Raw genomic sequence first — 24,158 nt, 5'->3', positions numbered from 1 at the left:
TAGGTCTAACATGTAAGTCTTTAATCCATCTTGAATTAATTTTTGTATAAGGTGTAAGGAAGGGATCCAGTTTCAGCTTTCTACATATGGCTAGCCAGTTTTCCCAGCACCACTTATTAAATAGGGAATCCTATTTAATAAATGGAGGAGAGTGGAGGACAGCTGTGGTGGCTCACACCTATATTTCCAGCACTTTGGGAGGCTGAGGCAGGCAGATCACCTGAGATCAGGACCAGCCTGGGCAACCTGGTGAAACCCCGTCAAAAATATTAGACGGGTGCAAAAGTAATTGCGCTTTTTGCCATTATTTTCAAAGGCAAAAACGCAATAACTTTTGCATCAACATACACAAAAAATTAGCTGGGCATGGTAGCACCCACCTGTGGTCCTAGCTACTCAGGGGGCTGCAGTGTGCAGTGGGAGGATCACTTGAGCCTGGGAAGCAAAGGTTGCAATGAGCCAAGATTGCGCCACTACACTCCAGCCTGGGTGACAGACTGAGACCCCATCACAAAAAAAAAACCTCCTATTGAGCAAGGGTGAACTTGTGTTTGGTTAAGAATAACACTCAACTAGCAGGCAGAGAAGTTTGCTGCCTGAATAGCAGAATCTCAAGGCTCAGTCTCAACATCAGCATAGTTATTTAAATGATTCATATTTAAATGATTCATGACCATCCATTGGTTAATCTATGCAAAACCTTGAGATGAAAACAAACAAACAAACAAACAAAAACAAACAACAACAAAAAAAACCTTTCCTCACCTGACAGAAGGGAAAGCACATACATATACCAAAGAGTTGGCTGGGTCACAGAAAATAGTGATATATGACAATAATCTCCAATGACCACCTGCTGACATTCCACTTAAACCACCCGCCTCATCAAGATTATTCCTGTAGGCCACTAGTTTGCAATGTTAAGTAATTTGGCAACACAGAGTCATGGCCATCTAGAGGGTTTCAATAGCAAAGCCATCATGTGGACTTGGGGCACACCCATTCACAGGCCCACATCCCCCACTCCAGACTGGGATAGCCATTCTTTTGTGTCAAGGGATGATATGCATATAGAAGAGTCTCTGTGACTGCCATTTCTCAAAATTCAGACAAAGCCAAGATGCTCATAATGTATGTTTCTACTGCTACAGCTACCCTACCACCCACAAAATGTGAAAATTTAAGATGTGTTCTTCTCCAGTATAGGCTCAACAAGTTTCCTCTTTAGTTGCCATTTACTGGTGGGTGCTTGGGTCTCCTCTTGTCCCTCTCCCCACAACCCGTCATGGGTTCATCTGAACTTGGACTTCTGGTTTGCTTTACAGAGAGGTCTTACTGGTGATGGGTAAAAGATAGTGGGTAGGCTGAGTAAGGCCTGGGGAAGTTTCTCCCACTGAGCAACTCAGCATCTTCCCATCTAATACCATCAAGCATCTCACTGGCTGAAGCCCCAACCTTGGGGCTGCTAAGTGGCTTTCTTGGGAATGACACCTTTCCATTTAACGGGTTAAGGTGGCTTAAGGAGGAAATATATGGCCTAAAAAGGGTGGTATGGGAGAATGTCCTCAGCTTTCCTTTATTGCACAGGGAGATTCCATGAAAGGAGAGAGGCTGGCACAGCTGGTTGTTCTATGGCCATGAGGAGAAGCATGACAAGAGAGAAGAGATGCCACTAGATGAAAAGAACTCTCCAGAGAAGAGTGGAGGCCCAAACTGGGAAGTTAGGTGAGAGGAGATGAGTTCAGAAAGAGAGGCTGGAGAGCCTGATGAAAGACCTTAATAAAGGGTGAGGGCCTAAGAGCTCACTTACAGGATCCTTAGTCCCCAAAGGCTCCAAGTTCAGGGGTGGGGATGGCTGAGACAAAGATTAGACAATGCAACTTTAGCAGGAGTGAAGACCAGTACAGAAGTAAAGCACAGGAAGAAGCCAGCCACTGAGGCAGGAAGAGATGGCTGAGAACTGGACCAAAGTGGAAGCAGTTGAGGCAGGGAGACATACGATCTAGGAGATGCAGGCAGAATACAAGACCATGATGAGCAGCCCCATGACACCAGGGTTACATAACCCTTTCCAATAACAGCAAGGGGAGAGAAAGTCATGTGCCATTCCTTATAAAGCAGGAAATTAAAGCAGAAAGAACAAACGACCTGAATTCTAGCCAGAACTGCTGCCCTGTGGGATCCAGAGCAAGCCACAACCTTTTCATGCCTCAGGTTCCTTCCCAGAAAAGGAGCATGAGGATCTTGATCTCTGCACCCTCCCGCTCCATCCCTTTGGGTAAAAGCCTTGAGTCACACTTGGAGTATTTGCAGCAACAATGCTGAGTGTGCTGGGATCCAAGTACAGTGACCAACAGCCCCTGTGTCTTCCCCAGCATGTTGGCATCCCAGAGGCCCTGGACCCCACCCCAAATCCAAAAGCATGAACCCCAAGCCTCCCTGCAGGATGAGCTCCACCCGTTTAGCTGCCTGTCTCTTCTGTTCCTTGGTTTCTTTTCTTTTTTTTTTTTTGAGATGGAGTTTCACTCTTTGTTGCCCAGGTTAGAGTGCAATGGCACAATCTCAGCTCACTGCAACCTCCGCCTCCCTGGTTCAAGCGATTCTCCTGCCTCAGCCTCTTGAGTGTGGGACTACAGGTGCACACCACCATATCCGGCTAATTTTTGTATTTTTAGTTTTTGTATTTTTAGTCGAGACAGGGTTTCTCCATGTTGGTCAGGCTGTCTCGAACTTCTGACCTCAAGTGATTTACATGCCTCAGCCTCCCAAGGTGCTGGGATTACAGGCGTGAGCCACCGCGCCTGGCCTGTTCCTTGGTTTCTTAGCACTTCTCCTTTCTTTTCTTTTCCTACTGGCCCATTCTAATTTCCTTCTCTTCTTCCCTCTCCTTGTTTTTAAACTAACCTATTCCTGCTCCCCTATATCTCTTAACTTCAGTACAACTTTTCTTGATAGATATGTATTGAGCAAGTACCTAATGAAAGAAGCCATGTGGCTTACTAGTTGAGAGCCTGGATTCAGAAGGCCCAGGTGGACCCCCAGCTCTGCTGCTTGCTACCTGGGTAGCCTTAGACAAGTTACTCAGCCTAGATCTCAGTTACCTTATCTGTAAAATGGGGCTAATAACAGTACCTCCCTCCAAGGGCTTTTGTGAGGATCAACCAAGATGAATACATGTATAGTGCTTAGAATAGAACTGGCATGTAGTGAGCACTCAAGAATATCAATTATTACTACCCCAAGCACTGAGCTGTATCCTTCAGGGGACACATGTGACCAACACAAGGTCACTGCTCTCAGGTAGTGACTCTGTTGAATAAGAATAAACAACAATCATAAAAACAATTATAACATAAAGTGAGCTAAAATACCTGAAGAGAAATACAGAGAGGGTGTCTGAGTTCAAAGGGGTGCACTATAGGTGAGAGGAATCAGGGAAGATTTCGTAGCAAAGGTTTTCATTTGAAATGGGCTTTGAAGAACTGAGACCATACAGGCAGGAAAGGGAGGGAGGAAATTCCAGAGAAAGTGAAAAACATAAAGGCAGAATGGCCAAGTGAATGGGAAGATTGTAAGAAATTCGGTGTGGCCAGAGAACTGGGTTTCTGCATGGCAATCATAGGAAATGAGTTGGACAGGCACAGTGAAGCCAGACTGGGAGGCCCCTGACCGCCCGCTGAGATTCCATATTTCATTCACAGGCAATGAGGAGCCACTGAAAGTTTTTGAATAGAGACATGATGGACCTCATGCTTTAGGAGCTGGTTCAAAGTGGCATGCTGGGTGGACAACAGGAGCCCTCCAGCTCTACCAATGCACAGTCTCCTCTGTGAGGACAGATGGACACATGCCACGTGCATACAGTAGTACTGCATGCACACTGAGGAGAAACGCCTCTCCAGAGACAAGGGTACTGGATTCTTAAAGCAGCTGTCTGAGTGCCCAGCTAAGCAACTAAATGCAGGGGTGTATGGGAATGCATTTCTTAAGTGAAAATCACAAATCAATATGATCTCTTTCAATAAACAATTCAGCTACTGACTCCTCATTAGCACCCCCAGCAGGGTGCAGTTGTTAAATTTAAAGGCAGCCAAACTCTTACTTCAATTAAGTGTCATCCCTACTAAATGAAGACCAGATGTGCAAGCCAACAAAGAAATCTAATCAAGTTGGAAGAAAGGATTTCTGTAAAAGAGAAAACCAGGGGAAGGTGTGGGATTGGTCAGAAAACAGCAGATGCTGAAGAGAAAAGTCAAGCCAGGGCTCCAGATCAAATAGGGTCATTTGGCAAGGAAAGGCAGAGAGCTGCTGCAAAGCCCATGCACGGAGGGCGCTCATCTGGAAATGGAACTGTTAGGCAGTTAGAATCCCATCAATCTTTCAGAAATCCCCGCCAAGGGTGCAAGACTCTTTATTTTAACCTCAAAGTCCAATGCTTAGAAGATTTCCCAGCATGGCTCTCTGAGGGAGACGGAATCCTTGGATGTCTCCTCATGCCAGGCAGAGCCAACCCAACCCAAAGCTGGCCTGGTTTGGGTATTCAGGCCTGAACCAAGCCAGACTTCACTTCAATCCCTCACCACCTCAGCCCCTTAGGCCTCTTATTTAATAAGGAGCAGTGACTTACTATATTATCGAAATAACTTTTTGAGGCTTGAAGCCTCTCTTCTATGTACTATCTTTACCAGGACCTCATCTTAGTTTTTCAAAGGAGAAAGAAAGGGAGGAAGGAAAGAGGAAGGGAAGGAGGAAGAAAGAAAGAGAGCAAGGGAAAGAGAGGAAGAAAAGGGGAGAAGGAAAGAGAAACACACCCCCCTGCCCACAAGCCTCAGCACAATGACAGCTTGTGCATCAATTGCGCGTGGATTTCTAGGCCTTTGCCCTTCCAAGTGAGCAGGCAACCCTTGCCAGGGACCCTACTGCCACATTCTCCCTCTGAGCAGCCTGACCCTGTTTATCAACTGTTTCCACAGCTGTAGCAGCTGATGTCACAAAGCCTGGCTGAGGACCAAAGAGAAACAGGTTCGTTTGGAAGTTCGTATCTGAGCAGACTGGCTCAACCAGAAGTCCAGAAAAGTGTGGACCAGCTTCAACAGGACAGCACTAACACAGACTACTGCAGTCTCTGCACAGAGAGGCCTAAAGGAGAGGTCACAGCAGTACTCTGCAGGTAACACTCCATTTCCAACGAGCAGAGAATCCCAAAGGAGGTGATTTAGTGATGATCTCCATCAGCCCTAGAGAGGGATCGTCGTGGTCAGGAGACCCAGTTTTAGAGCCCGAATCCTGGCCATTCATTGCCTATGTGACCAGGTTACTGAATCTCCTCTTCATAAAGTAATTATGAGGATTCAGTGAGTTGCTACAGGCAAAACGCTTAGAACAGCGCCTGTTATATAACAACTAACATCAATGTAGACTTGCTATTTTCACTGGTATTTTTTTTTTTTTTTGACTAGCCACTTAAATTCTGATGTGTCTCATGTTTGGTTATTAGTGTCACCTAAAAGAAATAAAACCAGTTCCTTGTTGCTTTTTTCCATGAAATGGCTTTTAGATTAATACCTCTGAAAAACTGCAACAAGTCAAATTTTAAAATATTAACAAGTAACATATGCCCGGAGCAATTCAAACTGTCTCCCTTCCCAGCTCTCCTGGATCAGGATAAACAAAGACCCACTTGGGTCCACAAGTCACAAAATGAAGCAGCAGAGGATGGGATGATTGTCAACAACACCCAATATGAATGAGGACTATGTCTTAGCGGCTCGGGAGAGACCCCCTCAGATAGCAGGGCTGCCCCAAGGATGGCCTGAGCCTGATGAAGGGAAAGGAAAGGGGCAACTGACCTCCACAGGGAAATGGGCTGCACAGGCACCTCCCTCAGCCCCACAACCACCCTGGCACCAGGGCCAGGCGATTATGTTGAGGAAGTCCTGACCAAGCAAGGAGTCAAACCGGGGACTCCCCGGTCCAGAGCCCAGCTCTCTCCGCTGTGGCCTCTAGAGGGGAGGACCCTGCCTTATCCTGGGCTCAGGCAGCTGAGGAGAGAGGCTGAGTAAAAAGGAAAAGATCATGAATGACTGTTCACTGTAGGAGAAAGGCTAGATGTACACTCCACCTATTTAATAAGCCCTCAGGTGATGAGAGGATTAACAGCTGCAAAGAATGCCAAATCCTCTCAGGATGGTTAGTGGTTAAGGAGACAGGTAAATTGCTAATATTACATGAACAAGGGTGATTCCAACTGGTTAGAAAGCAGGGTGAGCTCGTTGTGAAGAAGCAATTTGTCATTTCCACCATAAACCTTCGTGCGGTTAAATGCCTCTCCAGGGAGGCAGAGACTTAGTGCAGCAGGAAGAGAGAGTAAGGAACAGCAGCTGCCCCATTATTTTTTACATTCATTAAATGCAAAAGGGCTGGGTGGTGAACAGAATACCCAGAGGCAGCAGGGCTCTGCTCAGTAGTTTTCAACCTGGACCTGATGGATTCACCAGATTCAGCCACAGGGCACCCGCATTAGTAGGCGAGGAGCTTCCACCCAGCAAAGGATCCTGACCAAAAGGGCTTGAGTTGCCAATTCTAGCTGCCTTCTGGGCCCAGTCACCATGCAACAGGGATGTGGAGAGGAGGTACAGGTGTCCACTGGGTATATACTATGGGCCAGGCACGGTGCTAAGGACGTGACACCCATTATTGCATTTACTTCTAACAGGGTTGACATTGTCCATTTTACAAAAGAATTGACAGTTGAGTAATTCACCCCTTTGCTGTCAAGATGAGTGTCAGAGTCCCTGCCTTCAAAAAGACAAATACACTGTGATGCATGCAGAAACAAAGGTCTCTCTAGAGTGTAATGGTAACACAAAAGAAGAGAAAACTACTCTGCCAACATCAGGGAAAGCTTCTAGAAGGGATGAAAGCTCAAATAGGCTCTGGAAGATAAGCAGAAGTTGGGCTGAGGTTTGAAGAGACAGGCTTCAGCCGCAATGGGAAGGGAGTGCTTCCCAGGTAGAAGGAAGAGGAGGAATAGAAGTGGCCTCAACAGGACATACTCAGGGCACAAGGCACAGCGGACCTATAATATGCTGCTGTGGCCTCAGGTGCCAGGCAGAATGCCATGTGCCTTGCTCTGAGTTCAGACTCAAGCCTGGAATCACCACATGGTTTTAAGTAGGACAATGCCTACAGAATCATCCTTATACAGATGAGCCAGGCAGCAGTGTGGAGGATGGTGGGAGGGCACAGCCAAAGGCATGGTGGCAGTCTGGAGGGCACTGCGGCAGCTGTCTATGAAACACAACAGTCTGGGGCTGCACTGGTAGGAAGGAATAGGGAGAGACACGATTGAAAAATATTTAAGAGGCACATCTGTAAGGGTGACCTAAGCCAGGGGTAGTGACAGAGAAGAAAGGTGACCCTGAGGTTTCCAGCTTACATTCTTGAGTGGTCAAGATGTCTTTCCAAGAGATAAGGAAATATGAAAAACAAGTGCATGTTCTTTTTCAGGGCAAAAAGGAGAGACTGCAGAAATGATAACTTCAGTTTTTTGACATATTGAATTTAAGGTGCCTTTGGGATATCCAAATGGGAGTGTCACACAGAATATACAAGTCTCAACCTCCAAAAAGAGTTTCATAAAATCAAATAATGGCCTTATTTACATCTAGTGACATACACTGCCTGGCAGTGTTCCCAGACTAGAGAAAGGCACAATCAGGGACACAGACAATGCTGCCTGGACTGACATTTGGTTAAACAGGGACAGTCGGCATGTTCTTGTAGGATCTCTGAGTCAGATGTAAGCAGACTGGAGTCTTGCCTTGGTTCCATACCACAACCATACCACGTTCAAGCTTAGAAGTGAATCCTAGATTCCCCACTTACCACCTCTGCGAGCTATGGCAAGTTATTTAACCTCTTGGTACCTCAGTTTCCTCATCTGGACAATGGGATAATTATTACACCTACACCACACAGAGTTGTTATAAGGATAAAGTAACAAATCTTGTTAAGTGCTTTGCATGGAGCCCGACACAGTAACAGCACATAGTGCAGTCTGTACTCAATTCTGGTTAATGTTGATAAGAACAACAATGTAATTAGTTTGAGGAAGTCTTTCTTTTTTTTTTGACAGAGTTTCGCTCTTGTTACCCAGGCTGGAGTGCAATGGTGCAATCTTGGCTCACCGCAACCCCTGCCTCCTGGGTTCAAGCAATTCTCCTGCCTCAGCCTCCTGAGTAGCTGGGATTACAGGCATGCGGCACCATGCCCAGCTAATTTTGTATTTTTAGTAGAGACAGGGTTTCTCCATGTTGGTCAGGCTGGTCTTGAACTCCCAACCTCAGGTGATCTGTTCGCCTTGGCCTCCCAAAGTGCTGGGATTACAGGTGTGAGCCACCACACCAGGCAAGGGAGTCATTTTCTTTATGTGACCCTTACCTGTAAAATAAGGATAACGCCTGCTTTTTATGGGATTATTGAAGACTAACATTAGGTGACAGTGGATATGAAAATTCACTTAAACAACTAGAAAGTGCTTCGTAAGTGAGAAATCAGGGCCTTTCAGCAGGAATCAAAGAGGTTTGCGCTCCCAGCAGATCCGATCATCAGTGTGTGCTGCCATGGCTTTCCGTCCTTGTCCTATAATATGCTGCTTTTGGCTCCAAGAGGAAACTTGCCACACACCAGACCCTGTGTCATGTGCTGAGTACCAAAAGGTCACAGAAGGGAATACTATTCAGCCATAAAAAGGAATAAACTTTTGATACATGCCACAGCATGCATGTACCTTAGAAACATTATGCTTAGTGAAATAAGCCAGACACACAAGGACAAATACATGAGATTTCACTTATATGAGGTTTCTAGGCTAGGCAAATTCATAGAGATGGAGGATGGAACAGAGGTTACCAAGGGCTACGGGAAAACAGAGCTATTGTTTAATGGGTACAGAGTTCATCTTAGGAAGGATGAAAAACATTGGGGTATACATAGTGGTGATGGATACAAAGTATTGTGAATGTATTTAATGTCACTGAGTTGTACACTTACAAGTGATTAAAATGATAATTATGTTGTGTGTGTGCATATACATATGTGTGCCATAGAAGTCATCAAAACAAAGAGTAGATGCTCAATGCAACCTGTTGCCAACACCAAGAACATGAACCAAAGGGTCCCTAAAGGGTGGTTAGTGTAGTAGCGAGGAACTGACATTCTGCATATCATCCTGTTACAATGGATAAACACTGTTGGCTTCAGAGGACTCCCAAACATGAGGTGTGTCAGTGCAAGAAACTGTGGACTGAGCTGGGCAATATCAAATCCTCCCGTGGAAACTCAATAACATCATTTCTTACTCTTGAGCATAAATAACTGTAATAAAGCAAAGCACCTTATTTAAAAGATAGCATCTGTTTTGCTTTGACAACAACTCCTGGCTCTTACTAACTCTTCTCTGCTGACAGATAATGCATTCAGCAGTTCTGCCCCAGTTTAAAAATCATTCCCAAATCACTTCACTTCCAGAGCAGAACCAAACTCCTCCTACTGAGTGACTTTTCAGTCTGGTGCAGATTCAGGAAAAGATAAATGTATTTTTCATTATGTATTCAGTAGGTACTTAGCAAACCAGATTCTCCTGAGGTGTGATTCTCCTGGGAATAAAATCCTAGAAATAATCTACCACTCCCTCAAGCTCCCAAGTCTCTATTCACACTAGCCTTCTTGCCATTTCTTGAACCTGCGAAGCCCATTCCTGCCCCCCAGGAATGGTGACCTGGGGCACTTGCTGACCTCTGTCTGGAACATTTCCTCCAGATACCCACACGGCTCACTCCCTCTTTCCATTCACATCTCTAGAGACTCAAGTGTCATCAGAACCCAGAAGCCTTCCGCAACAGTCTGTGCAAAAGAGCACCCACCCCTATAAACTCCATGCAGACAGGGACTTTGTTTTGTAGACTGCTGTATCCCCAGAGCCTCAAAAAGTATTGGCTCAAAAAGGGAAGTCAATTTATTTTTTCAAATGAGTGGGGAAAAAAATTAGGTCCTGCTGTCTGGGCACTGCTCTTTATATTGATGAGAATACCTCGCCCCCTAAGAAAGCATTGATTTGTTTCCTTTGACTGAGAAGACAGTTCTAATCATTCCATCACACGCTGCTCAATCCCTATCAAGTGTTTTCTAAAATTTAATAAAGTCTGGGCCCCTTTTAAAGAAAAAAAAATTGGCAAACACCCCGTGTTTAAATGAATAAATAATATGTGGTATAGCCATGCTATGGAATGTTACTCAGCAACAAAAAGAAATGAAGTACTGATACATGTCCCAATATGGATGAACCTTGAAAACATTACGCTAAATGAAAGAAGCCAAATACCAAAGGCCACATATTGTATGATGCCATTTAAAATGTCCAAAACAGGCAAATCCATAGAGACAGAATGTAGATTAGTAGTAGTCTGGGGCTAGGGGTGTTGGGGAATCAGGGATGATGGATTAGAGGTATAGAGTTTCTTTTTGGGGTTCGCGCCCCAAACATGTTTGAAAATTGATTGTGGTGATGATTATACAACATTAAGAATATACTAAAACTCACTGAATTGTATATTTAAATGGGCGAGTTATATGGTATGCAAATTATACCTCAAAAAGCTGTTACCCAAAGAAGCGTTCCAAATGATGTCTGTTACATCATTTAAATATGTAAAGCATAAAACTAGATAGAAATTACTTACAGGGTTTACATAAATTTATAAATTAAACACAAATAATGTAACCAAAACAAATTAAGAATGTTAAAGTCAGAGAATACTTTGTCCTTGTAACTGAAATGATATCACTGCTCACAACAGGAATATACAGTGACTACCTGCCCCAAGTTCTCTTGGGTTTGGCAGAGGAATACACAGGGTGATACTCAGAAATTTGACAGCCAGGATGGTACAGTCCCAACAAATCAGAAAAGACATTGAGAGTTATCAGGACAAACACTAGCCATCAGCAACTCCAGAGGCTGCCTCAGGAACTATGGCTACATATCAGCCCCGCCTTCAGTACCGTGCACCATGCACTAACTCCATTTTTCTGCTACTTTCGTCTCTCTATTCCAACGACCGCAAAAATCTTGATTCATAACTCATGACTGTGCAAAGTGCAGTCATGTGTCCTTCATCTTATTAGAATTCATTATATATAAAATTTTCTGTTATTTTTCTTCAGGGCATAACCCTTACAGAAGAACTATTTGATGGCAACACACGTAGAAACAAGTAGACAAACACAGCTGTGAATGATAAACTCAAATGACAGTGCTCAGGCAGACAACGGCCCTTCCAACAGTCCAGAACAGGCTTATTTTATCTTGTTGTCATTAGGATCAAATGAAAAACAAAATCTTAAAATTCTTATGGAGAACTCTCAGACACTTGAACATACATTCCTAAATTCCAAGAGAGCCACAGAATCCATTCTGAGAAACACTGATGTACTGACTGGTTAAAAATAATAATTGCCCTAGAGGCAACTGAATTCATGTATTTAATAATAATAGCTAACATTTAGCAGGTGCTTATGCGTGCTTGGCAGCCAACATATATGGTTTTCTGACCCCAATGCCCTGCTCCAGTGCACAGTAATTAGAAAGGAATAACTAGCCTGGGCAACATAGGGAGACCCCATCTCTACAAATAATTTAAAAAATTAGCCAGGTGTGGTGGCACATGCCTGTAGTCCCAGCTACTAGGAGGGCCACCTGAACCTGGGAGGTTGAGGCTGTACTGATCCATGATCATGCCGCCACACTCCAACATGGGTGACAGAGCAAGAGCCCATCTCAGGGAAAAAAAAAAGGAGGCAAAGAACTATTATTTATGGTTCATAATCCACATGCTAGGCACTTCACTCAGTATGCTGCATGCATTCATGTATAACTGTAAAATACATGTGCCAAGAGGACATTATCCCAATTTTCCTGATGATTAAAGAACAACTGATAGATTAAGAAATGTGTTCAGTCATTTAGCTAGTAAACAGAAGAAACAGGATTTGAATTTAGTTCTTCCTGATCCCAATATTGGAGTACCTCAGTAGGGGGTGGAATCTCTCCAATCCCTGCTATGAGCCTAACACTCTAATCCCATTATGGTAGACAGACTCAAAGCCCCCCAAAGAGGTCCATGACCTAATCCCCAAAACCTATGAATGTGTTACCTCACATGACAAAGGGCACTTTGCAGGTGTGACCAAATTAAGGACCTTGAGAAGGGGAGATTATCCTGGATTACTGGGGAAGGAAGAATGAGGAGGGACCAATCTAATAACGAGGGACCTTATAACCAAAGGCGATGGAGGTGCAGGAGAGTCAGAGTCAGAGAAAGAGATGTGAAGACAGAAAGCAGGGGCCATAATTCAGGGACGAAATTGCCAGCACTAAGGATGGAAAGGGGCCATGAGCCAAGGAATCTAGGGAGCCTCTGGAAGCTGGAAAAGCCAAGGAACAGATTCTCCTCTAGAACCTCCAGAAGGAACGCAGCCCTGCCAACTCCTTGATTTTAGCCCCATTTTGGACTCTGACCTCCAGAACTGTAAGTTTGTGTTAAGCCGCTAAGTTTGTATTATTAAATAATTTGTTACAGCAGCATAGGAAATTAATAGAGCCATACTAACACAGTGAAACAGAGGTTTGTGTTACAACTTCAGCTGTTCTGAGGTAGGCTTGCCAACTCTGAACTTAGGATGAAAAGGAGAACAATGACAAAGGAGTAAATGGTGCTGAGGGGGGCCACTTAGGGAGAAAGTTATAAAAAGGGATAAAGTGACTCCTGGACAAAGCCTCCCAGAGGAGGTAAAATATGGATTTCAGGGCTGAATGCATGAGACCACGTGCCGAAGCGTACTGCTGGTGGGTAAGGAAACACAAGTGCAGACAGGCGGCACTCACAACTCCAGTCGCTGCCTCCATAAAGCCGCCCGTCCACCAGTCCCTGGATGTTCTCCTAAGAGCATTTCAGTTATGTTCTCCCAAGAGAGCATCCAAGGCCATTTTATATTTTTCTGTTTTTGTTTTTCTTGAGAGAATTTCTGGAAGAGTTGGCAATTCTGGAAGAGGGCTACAGGGAGAGGAGGGCTTGGCCATTTTCTGGTCACCGGTGAATTCTGTTCAAGGCCAAGACCAACACCACTCCAGAGTGCCACACTTGAGAAACCAAGTCACTGTTAAATAGGAAACTCTGACTCCACACTGGACCATTTAGAAGACCATTTGCAGTGGGGCCAAGTTTTTGCCCAGCCTACAGCCAGAGGAGCCACCACAGGAGACCAGATACCCCTGAGTGTCATCTAGCTACAGCGCATATCCCTCCCAGGTTTGGTCTGTATTGGCCACCAGAGGCTGCACCACGTTTCGACTGCAGGGATCTATCCCCTGGTTTAAGAGCAAGAAATCAAGTCTCCAGCCTCACGGACAGCACTGAAAGCCCCCAGTTCCCACAGCAACAGTGGGTTCCAAAGATGAAGGGGTCAGGAGCCACCCAGTGACATGCTGGAGCTGGGCACTGCAGCCCAGCTCTCTCCACACCAGTATCCTTAAAAAAGCTATAGAACCCGTCAAGTCTGACTTGAGTGCAGCTGTCTTCCTTCCCCAGAACCCCCTTGGTGGAGCCTCCCCAGATTTCATGGGTTTATGCTCAGGTGGTTATTAAGTAAGATTAACTTTCTCAGTCACTCAACAAATGTTTACTGAGCACAGATGGGCACCATGCCAAATGTTGGGAATACAGTTGCTCTCAGTGCTACAAAAAAGAGGGGTGTGGTGCCACAGAACATGAGAGGACAAGATGACCTAGGTAGGAAAGGCCTCCCCAAGGAAGGGATGTTTGCACTGGAACCTGAAAAAAAGGCGCTAGCTATTAAAAGGGGCTAGATGAGGCAGCTCAGTATCTCTCAGGGTATTTATCTGCATTTATGAAATGCTTTGAAACCCAAAGGAAGGCATAAAAATGATACCAATGAATATAAATAGCACTTTATGGTTTATAAAATGTTTTTCCATGCTTCATCCCAGATTCAACAATAGCACTAGAGAGACAGAACAAGAAATTTCATGCTCTGCCTTTTATAAATGAGGAAACTGAGATTAACAGCAGTTACATGCCTCACCAAGGTTATGAAGTCAAGGAGAAGACTCAAGTCTGGCTCTCATTATTCCTCATTGAGAGCTCTTTTCACTACATAGTGCTGCCTTCCCAGGAAAGCTAAAAAGTTAAACGACAGACTGGTGTTCATATTTACTAATGCAAATCATACCAAACATCTGGCTGCTGGACTCACCTATTCACACAGTTGGACTGACAGTGCAATGCCAGCAACCTGGTTTCAGCATTACCAGCCACCCTGCACCTTCAACCAGCAACCTCCAAGCAAGCGGCGCCAGTGTCAGACCAATCCCCAGCTCAAGGAGAACTTCCCTGAAAACTTTGTGAATTGTTCTAAGCTATACAGCTAAAAGAAAATAAAAACATGTTTCAATTTAAAAAGGAGCCATATTCCCTCTTCTCTCACTTTCCCCTTCCTTTTCCAGCTGGCAACTTCTCAGACCTTTGGATCCTTGGTAAACAAAGAGCGAGCAGGACAACCATCCTGTAGTTCTGGGGAGTGTCCCTTAAGCTTCCTTCTTGTCTGGGTCATTGTAGAGATCAGAGAGTAATATATGGAAAAACCTAATACCAAGGAGTTGGCACAGAGAGGGGGAAAGTACCAGATCTGGAATCAGAGGCCTGCAGTTTGGTCTTCGTTCTAACACTTAGCTTCTAATCTCTGGTAAACAATAAACAAGGAAGATATGATAGTAATGCAAAATGATAGTCATTATGGAAAACAGTATGGAGGTTCTTCAAAAAAATTAAAAATGGGACTACCATACCCAGCGATCACATTTCTGGGTATATATCCCAAAAATTTCTAAGCAAGATCTCAAAAAGATATTTACATACCTATGTTCATTGCAGCACTATTCACAACAGCCAAGACATAGAAGCAACCAAAATGTTCATAGTTAAATGAATGGATTGTTTTAATGTGGTATATATACACTATGGAATATTAAGCAGCCTTAAAAAGGAAGGAAATCCTGTCACATACTGCAACATGGATGAACCTTGATGACATTATGCTAAGCGAAATAAGCCAGTCAAAAAAAGGACAAATACTATATGATTTCATTCATATGAAGTAGTCAAAATCACAGAAACAGAGAGTAGAAAGGTAGTTCCCAAGGGCTGGCAAGAGGGGGAAGGGGAATTGTGTTTAATGGGTATAGAGTGTCCATTTTGCAAGATGAAAAAGTTCTAGAGATCTGTGACACAACAGTGTGAATATACTTAACACTGCTGAACTTCACACTTAAAAATAGTTAAATTTAATGTTACACATTTACCACCATAAAAAATACTGAAAGCACATTAAAAAGGAAAAAAAGCAAAATACGCTCAAGACAGATAACATAAATTCAGAAAGACCATCAAGAGGGTGAGAGACCAAATGAGAAATAGAGAGAGGGAAGAGGAAAGCACCAGTGAAAAACAAAGTCCAGATATTTAGCTCAGAGTCCTCTCTGGGGTAAGGAATAGGAGTGCACACACCAGCTAGAGCCCCAGCTCAAAGAATGAATGGGGCACATCACACAGATCCCTTCACTCTGAATGCTTCTCTCTCTGGGAAACAGATGATCTTCACTGCCCATCAACTAACTGTCCCTTTAGTGCTCTAGACAGGATCAGGGAGGTTGACATCTCACACACATGTGATCCTTATCATAACTGCTGTTTTCCAAGGTCTACCCACTGCTCCAGCCAAGCTGTAAGGCCTGTGTCTTCTGAACCCATCAGAACACCCAGCAACCAAAAGCCTGCCCAATGTTAGCCTGGCACCGTTCTACATAAAAAGACAAAGTCAAGAATAGTCCTTTACACAGAAATCCCATGCCCTAGTTCTTGACAGCTGTAATTACAGCCAACAGCTTTTAAAAGGGAAAGAAGAAAAGAAAATAGCAGCCTGGACCTAGCAGTGAATTGAGGGGTTTAGGGTAAAACACATACCACGGCACTTGCTATTAATGGTGGCCAGTCTAAACAAGAGACTGGACAGCCAGACCAAACAGCTTTCTGGCCAATTAATTGCTCCCTCTAATTTAATGAGCTGCTCATTAAGCACTGGAAGCAGCACATAGGAAGGGAGCCACAGGAAGAGGCACATGGGCCATAAGGGCTGGCAGATGATGAGGGAAAAGGAGACTGGGGTCACATTCCAACCCCAGATGCCTCCAGATCCCACAACCAGCCAGCCCCATACCATGCCTCGGCCTTCCCTTGCTTCCAGGTGATGTTTTCCTGTACCTCTGTTTGTTCCATGAAGTTGTATCTCTGCCACTGGCTCTCTTACTGGGGAGGTCCCATGTCCCAGTTCTTTGGTTCCTCAGCTGGGGTAATGACTCATATTAGGGTCACAAAGAGCCTTCAGCAGGATTACAAATGGGCCAGCACGGTCCTGAATATGAATCCCAACTCTTCCTACTAACAGCAACTTGACCTAGAATTATTTAACCCACCCAAGGTTCTATTTCCTCATCTATAAAATGTAATAATAACATCCTCATCTAGAGTAGTTGTAAATAATAAATAAAATAATAAAATATTATTTCAATATTAAAAAGCCTAACAAAGCACCTGGCACATAAGTAGCTATTCCTAATAGTAGCTACTATTAACAGAGATATCACTTTCATAATGATAGTGATATTACTGACAACATATTCCCTATCTCTTCGTCAAAAGTGAATTAAAAAGGGACTTTTTTTGGTTGAAACCCCAAGGACAGGCCAGCTGCAGGTCCAGTCCTTATCACAGCAGCAACCACAACTGTGGTGAAAGTAGCAGCCCATCCTAACAACTGTAACACCTCCAGATGTTCCCCAGCCGAGGCCTCTGTGCTTTCTATCTGAGCTAGAAGGTGAAGGAAAAGAAGAGGCCTGGAAACACTCGAAAGTTGCATGTTCTCATGAGACTGAGTGAAGAAATGCATTCAGGCCACATGCCTGCCCCTTCCCAGACCTGCGAGACTCCTCACCCTACCCCTCTGAGCCTCAGTTTAATCTAGAAAATGAGGGTAACTGGTTCCCCACTTCACAGCCTGCTGTGAATGTTGAATGAAACAACTCAAGTGAAAGTGCTTTGAAGCTACTTCTTACTGTGTCCATGAAAAACAGTACTGTTGTATTTAATAGCAGTCTCAATAAATTTAATTTAACAATAAAAAAATGCTGAAATACTGCGAAGATCAAGGCAATGAAAAGATTTTATTAGGCTGATGAACTGCTCAGAGAAACAGCCCCAAGCATGCAAATTTTCTTCCCAACGTTGCTGTCATTGAACTCAAGTTTCTGTTGACCAGAGGAAGGACTGGCTGAAAGTAAAATTAACAAAGCAAAATGAAGCTACAGCATCACCTACATGTTTTTCCATTTAGGTGAGTAGATTATTCTACAGAACAATTATTCTAAAGAACAAACCAGGCTGCATCCAGGGATGACCAATCATGCCATCTCTAATGCCAATTATCTCTTTAAAAAAACACTTAAAATCCATTTCACCAATCCCAAACCTACCTTTGAAATGCACAAGTACAAGGTAATTTATTCTGTTCCAGTGCAGAGCACATGGACAAATTCCTTCACAGGTATCAGAAGAGAATTTGATTCTTGCTCAGTCTCAGCTTCATGTACCACAGAGTCAGAAAGCAACAAGTTCACAGACTGAACCATGTATACCAGCGAGAATGTATAGTGAACTTTCCGAAAGTAGACAAAATGGCAGAAGAAAATGCGCTTACACTCCCGGAGCCTACGGCATCCAACCAATAAAATTTTGTTCAAATCTCACATTTGCTCTTAAAAATCCAAGTAAATCTTATATTCGATACCTCTCTCTCTCTCTCTATATATATATATATATGTATATATGTATGTATATAGGCTCTATATATATATATATGAGCTCTCTATATATATAAGCTCTCTCTCTATATATATATACACATACATATATACACACATACATACATATACACATACATATATATATACACATACATATACATATATATGTATATATGTGTATATGTATGTGTATATATATATGTATGTGTATATGTATATGTATATATATATGTATAAAGGCTTCACACTGTGTATGGACTCAATCCCAAACTCCTTCATACTGAAGTTCAAACCATTTTGTTAACTAGCTCCACCCTCCCCATATAACACATCGCTTACCCACCCTCGAATACCCTAATCAAGCCAATTTCTTTGTCCTCCCTTATCCAGGCAACAGTTCATCACTATACTATATCTTTGCTAATGTTATTTTTCCTATTTAGAGTACTTATTCCACTCCCATTCTATTCAAGAGCCACCGTTTCTAATAAAAGCTTCCATTATAAACATTATACAGGCTCATGCCTATAATCCTAACACTTTGGGAGGCCGAGGTGGGTGGATTGCCTGAGTTCTGCAGTTCGAGACCAGCCTGGGCAACACGGTGAAACCCCATCTTTTTGAGTCAATTACCAGATCATTACTAAACCTTTTCCCTAAAATCTTTGAATAAAAAAGAGACATCAGTCCCTGGCCAGTCACCACACATCATCAAGGTAACATGTATCTCAGTTTGAGGAGCTACAGGTCACAAGAGAGGGAAGATGGTACCACTCCAGCCATCACATCCATTTTAACATTGGCCTTTCATCAAGATCAAATGTTCAATTCAGAACAGCTACCTAGAGGGTACAGAGAGGAGGAGTTTGGGTTTGCAAGGGGTGTAGCCATCCATTTTGGCCCCTCCAGCCCTACCTAGAAGGGCCAGCAGCTAAGGCACTTGACTCCCCGCTCCACACAGTCCACCTCTGGCCACTCACCCGTATCCGGCGCATGGCAGCCACGATCTCCACCCTGCTGTTGGGCCTTGGCACGTCCAGGCTTCCTACGTACTGTGGGGGAGAAGCAAACACTCATTGAGAGGAGGGGTAGCAAGTGTCCCTAATCCCAGAAAGTTCCAAAGGGTAAAGGACTAGCTCATCTGCCCATTTTACAGATGAAGAAATTAAGAGCCAGCAGGGTGTTTTGTTTTGAGTCTGTTTCTAACTTTATAAAAAGCAAGTTAACCAGAAATTACTGCTTCCTTTTTTCATCTTGCTCTTAACCAGAGATCCAGTAGAGAACTGTGTCTAACCAAGCAGCCTTTCAAGCCAGAAAGCCTTGGGTGTGAAGACTCTTCCACCACTACTTTATGGCAAAGCAATTCACTTTTTTTGTCTCAATTTCCTCAACTGTAAAATTGGCTCTCAGTAAAGATCAAACAGAATAAAATGTCCTACACAAAAGTGATTGGCAAATATTAGTGCTCTCAAAAAAAAAAAAAAAAGAATATATACCTTTTTTAACTAATGGAATTTCACTGATTGAGCCCTAGATGTTTTAGATACCTGACACATTTGATTAAGTTCCCGACTGGAGGAAAGAAATGAATTAATTTATTTAAAATTTTTTGAAGATGAATGAATGCTTAATATGAGTACTTTCTTACTGTAAGCTATTCAAATAATGCAGAAATATGCAGCACAAAAGAATAAAGTCCCCACTGTAACAGTTGATGTACATCTCTCTTTGTGTACTGATGGGTATATATTCACAGACAGGAGGGAATTTGTTTTATGTAAAGGTTCATATTACTCACATTGTTCTGCAACTTGGTTTTTTGACTTTAAATACAACTAGGGCATCTCTCTATGCCAATGAATACAGGACTATTACATTACATATAATGGCTCCCCTACTGGTGGACATGCTATGACACTACTACAAATTATACTTTTCATCTAGCCAAGTTTGAGCCCATCCAAGTAGCTCTAGAAGTAAGATTTCTGGATTCCTAGGATAAGATTGCTGGATCAAAAGTATAATCTTGGCTGGGCACTGTGGCTCATGCCTGTAATTCTGGTTCTTTGGGAGGCTGAGGCAAGGAGACCACTTGAGGTCAGGAGTTCGAGACCAGCCTGGCCAACATGATGAAACCTCATCTCTATTAAAAACACAAAAATTAGCTGGGTGTGGTGGCACATGCCTGTAATTCCAGCTACTCGGGAGGCTGAGGCATGAGAATTGCTTGAACCCAGGAGGCGGAGGTTGCACTGAGCTGAGATCGTGCCATGGCACTCTAGCCCAGGTGATGGACTGAGGCTCTGTTTCAAAAAGTAAAAATTAAAAAGGTATAATCTCTAGATATCATTGCTTATAAGAATGAAACAAGAAAATAGGACCACCCAACACTGATTCATTGATTAAGCATCTATGACATGAGCGCCTTCATATACACCATCCCATTACACACTGATTCATTGGGACTTGCCTTTCCTTATTATACATAAATTACATAAAACAGCCCAAGGGATATACTAGAAATTAAGAGCCCAGACTAACTTAAAAGTCTACCCAAGCAAAGATTCCATTAAGAGTGAAGATAAGACTGCGACATCTGTGCGGGAAAGGGATGTCCTGTAGTTACGGGAAAAGCAAGTTTTTCCCGAAATTTGGAGCTGAGGCCTGACCCCAGTGAGGAGGGTTTCAAAAACTAAATACCACAAAGGGATTTCCCCTAGTATTGATCAACAGTTTGTGCTAATACACTGAAGAACACAGCTGGCAAGCAGTGAGCACATTGCAGTTTGGCCCCAAGGGGACAGCCCCACCACGGCCCATGGGGAGCAACACAGCTATTGAAGAACCTTGCAGCTTGCTGAGGTAAACAAAACCACTTAGATCTGATAGCGTGGCCAGATTTAACTGTGGTTACATTTTTCCTTCTGAGCTCTGCTGAGGCGGTACAGTCTGTCAACAAGACAGCGACCCAGAGCTAGGGATGACGTAAGGCCCAGATTCGTGATTGCCCAACTTCACAGGCCCTCCAGCTGGGGGCAGTTTCCATGCCCCCTCTCCTTGACACTGCACAGCTGATGGCTCCTGCCCTGAATGCTGTGCAGTCAGGAACACACAGGCCTTGAGGGGCTCATGTTCCCTCAGCCATCACATGAGAGCTAGGGCCACAGGACCGAGAAAGGTCACCCATCACAGGGAGCCTGGGGGACTGTATAGTCCTCCCACTGGATCCCTGCAGACCAGGAAAGGGGCTGCTGCCCAGTGAGACCCACCATTGGGCCTAAACACAAATACCCAGATGGGACCCATCCCTATCCTGCTACCATGACCCTGGCCCATTTCTACCTCTTCTGGAAGAGGCACTGCTGGACTGAGAAAGCCAAAGGAAACATAGGATGCAGGGAGGACAGGTGGAGAGAAGAGGCAGCTTCGAGTTTTGGACAAGGCTTCCTAACAAGGGGCTCACATTAAGACATCTACCATCTTCACCCCACAAGTAACTCCTTCACTACATCAGCCACTACCCCAGCTGGTATGTGTGCATACATGTACCACACACCTTCACACACAGTCATGGTGCGCATGTACATGTACATGCACACCCCACATGCCACACACTTGCCTCACCCCACACCCCTACTAACACATCACACTCACACCACACACTCACTTGCTCTTCTTCCTTCCTTCCTTCTCATTCATGCAAAGAAAATCACTAATCTAAATACCTAGAAATTAGCTTAACCAAAGAAGTGAAAGATCTCTACAATAAAAACTACAAAACATTAATGAAAGAAATTGAAGAGGACACAAAATAATGGAAAGATAACCCATGTTCATGGATTGGAAGAATCACTATTGTTAAAGTGTCTGTACTATACAATCCCTATCAAAATACCAATGACATCCTCCACAAAAATAGAAAAAACAATCCTAAAATTTATATGGAGCCATAAAAGACCCAGAATAGCTAAAGTTATCCTGAGCAAAAAGAAAACAGCTGAAGGAATCACATTACCTGACTTCAAATTAGGCTATAGAACAAAACATGTAACCAGGTACATGCTACAGAACATGCACATGTACATGCTACAGAACATGTAACCAAAACAGCATGGTACTGGCATAAAAACAGACACATAGACCAATGGAACAGAATGGGGAACCCGGAAACAAATCCATACATCTACTGTGAATTCATTTTTAACAAAGATGCCAAGAACATATATTGGGGAAAGAATAGTCTCTTCAATAAATGGTGCTGGGAAAACTGGATATCCATATGTAGAAGAATAAAACTGGACTCCTATCTCTCACCATATACAAAAATCAAAACAAAATGAACTAAAGACTTAAAACTAAGACCTCACACTATGAAACTGTTAAAAGAAAATGTTGGGGAAACTCTCCAGGACATTGGACCGGGCAAAGATTTCTTGAGTAATACCCCATGAGCACAGGCAACCAAAGCAAAAATAGACAAATGGGATCACATCAAGTTGAAAAAGTTTCTGCACAGCAAAGGAAACAATCAACAAAGTGAAGAGACAATCCACAGGATGGGAGAAAAAATCTGCAAACTTCCTATCTGACAAGGGATTAATAACCAGAATATATAAGAAGCCCAAACAACTCTGTAGGAAAAAAATCTAATAATCTGATTTAAATATGGGTGAAAGATCTGACTAGACATTTCTCAAAAGAAAACACACAAATGGGAAACAGGTACATAAAAAGGTGCTCAACATCATTATCAGAGAAATGCAAATCAAAACTACAATGAGATATCTTTCACCCCAGTTAAAATGACTTTTATCCAAAAGACAGGCAATAATAAATGCTGGCAAGGATGTGGAGAAAAAAGAACCCTCGTATACTATCAATGGGAATGTAAATTAGTACAACCACTATGGAGAACAGTTTGGAGGTTCCTCAAAAAACTAAAACTAGAACTACAACATGATCCAACAATCCCATTGCTAGGATACCCAAAAGAAAGGAAATCAGTATATTGGTGAGATATCTGCACTCCCAGATTATTGCAGCACTATTCACAATAGCCAAGATTTAGAAGCAGCCTAAGTGTCCCTCAAAAGACAAATGGATAAAGAAAATGCAGTAAAATGGAATACTATTCAGCCATGAAAAAGAATGAGATCCTGTCATTTGCAATAACACAGATAAAAATGGAGGTTAGTGAAATAAGCCAGGCACAGAAAGACAAACTTCACATGTTTTCACTTATTTGTGGGAGCTAAAAGTTAAAACAATTCAGCTCATGGAAAGAGAGAGTAGAACAATGGTTACCAGTAGGTGGGAAGGGTAGTTGCAGCAGGGAGGGAAGGATGGTTAATGAGTACAAAAATATAATTAGGTAAAATGAGTAAGATCTAGTATTTGATACCACAATAGGATGACTATAGTCAACAATAACTTATTGTACATTTAAAAATAACAGAAAGAATGTAATTGGATTATCTGTAACACAAAGAAAGGATATATGCTTAAGGTGATGGATACCCCATTTACCCTGATGTGACTATTATGCATTGCATGCCGGTATCAAAATATCTCATGTGCCCCCATAAACCTATACACCTATTATGTACCCACAAAAATTGAAAATAAATTTTTTAAAATAAAATAAATTACAAACAAGAATCACTAATCTGCCTTTTTGAGAATGTGTCTGGAATAAATAACCTGTTTTCGCTATAGCTGCACCTTAGGGTCATCCAGAGAGATTAAAACGATACACAAAGCAGGATTCAGGTCTGCATCTCCTAGACAAAAGCTAAACATCCACTCTAATAACATGAATCAAGAGCAGAACTACAGTGCCAGGGAAGCAAAGGGTCAGAAAGTCTACTGCACAGGGCAAAACCAGAGGGTGTGGTATGTGAATACTTTCTTTACACATATGACACCACAACAAAGAGTACCTTGATAACTAATCATTACCACCTCCACAACTAACTTCTGTCTGTCCCTGAGTCTTCATCTTGAGCAAAGTGTAAGACACCATCTAAGACCAGACATACTTGCTGGAGGGTGGCCCTTCTAACTGCTCAACTTCAAGCAATTCTGCAGTAAACTGAACTCAGGCAGACCCTCCCACTCTTGACTGGAAGGTTAGCTCAGCAGGTAGATGAAGTTCAGGCCTAGG

General features: G+C 43.1%; 1 protein-coding gene, 1 long non-coding RNA gene and 1 other non-coding gene across 9 annotated transcripts in view, besides 1 other annotated feature; 1 reads left to right on the top strand and 2 right to left on the bottom strand.

Moving 5' to 3' along the window:
* NOS1AP (nitric oxide synthase 1 adaptor protein) overlaps nt 1-24,158 on the bottom strand; it is a 300,785-nt gene that overhangs the window by 197,024 nt on the left and 79,603 nt on the right. For both annotated transcript variants that reach the window (NM_014697.3, NM_001164757.2), the window contains exon 2: nt 18,976-19,047. In NM_014697.3, the coding sequence (NP_055512.1) occupies nt 18,976-19,047 (72 nt within the window). The remainder of the gene's footprint in view (nt 1-18,975; nt 19,048-24,158) is intronic.
* Nucleotides 1-24,158, top strand: part of LOC105371475 (uncharacterized) — a 61,354-nt gene that overhangs the window by 1,769 nt on the left and 35,427 nt on the right. For 2 of the 6 annotated variants that reach the window (XR_007066699.1, XR_007066697.1), the window contains exons 2-3: nt 1,588-1,725; nt 4,974-5,170. This is a non-coding gene — a long non-coding RNA (uncharacterized LOC105371475). Of the gene's footprint in view, nt 1-1,587; nt 1,726-4,973; nt 14,541-24,158 lie in introns of those variants that run through there. The other 4 variants (XR_007066696.1, XR_007066698.1, XR_922216.4 and 1 more) reach the window with 4 other exon arrangements.
* Nucleotides 16,270-16,345, bottom strand: MIR4654 (microRNA 4654). The gene has a single exon (NR_039798.1). It is a non-coding gene; the product is annotated as a microRNA 4654 (primary transcript).
* Nucleotides 21,042-21,542: an enhancer, noted in NCBI's record as "H3K4me1 hESC enhancer chr1:162121700-162122200 (GRCh37/hg19 assembly coordinates)". NCBI's record gives its function as "activates a minimal SCP1, AML or CMV promoter by ChIP-STARR-seq in primed H9 embryonic stem cells {active_cell/tissue: H9 hESC(primed)}" and the evidence as "EXISTENCE:reporter gene assay evidence [ECO:0000049][PMID:30033119]".

Source organism: Homo sapiens, chromosome 1 (genome assembly GCF_000001405.40).
Source record: "Homo sapiens chromosome 1, GRCh38.p14 Primary Assembly".
Taxonomy (NCBI): Eukaryota; Metazoa; Chordata; class Mammalia; order Primates; family Hominidae; genus Homo; species Homo sapiens.
The sequence above is the reverse complement of the archived record's forward strand: the minus strand, read 5'-3'. Positions and strand labels throughout refer to the sequence as shown.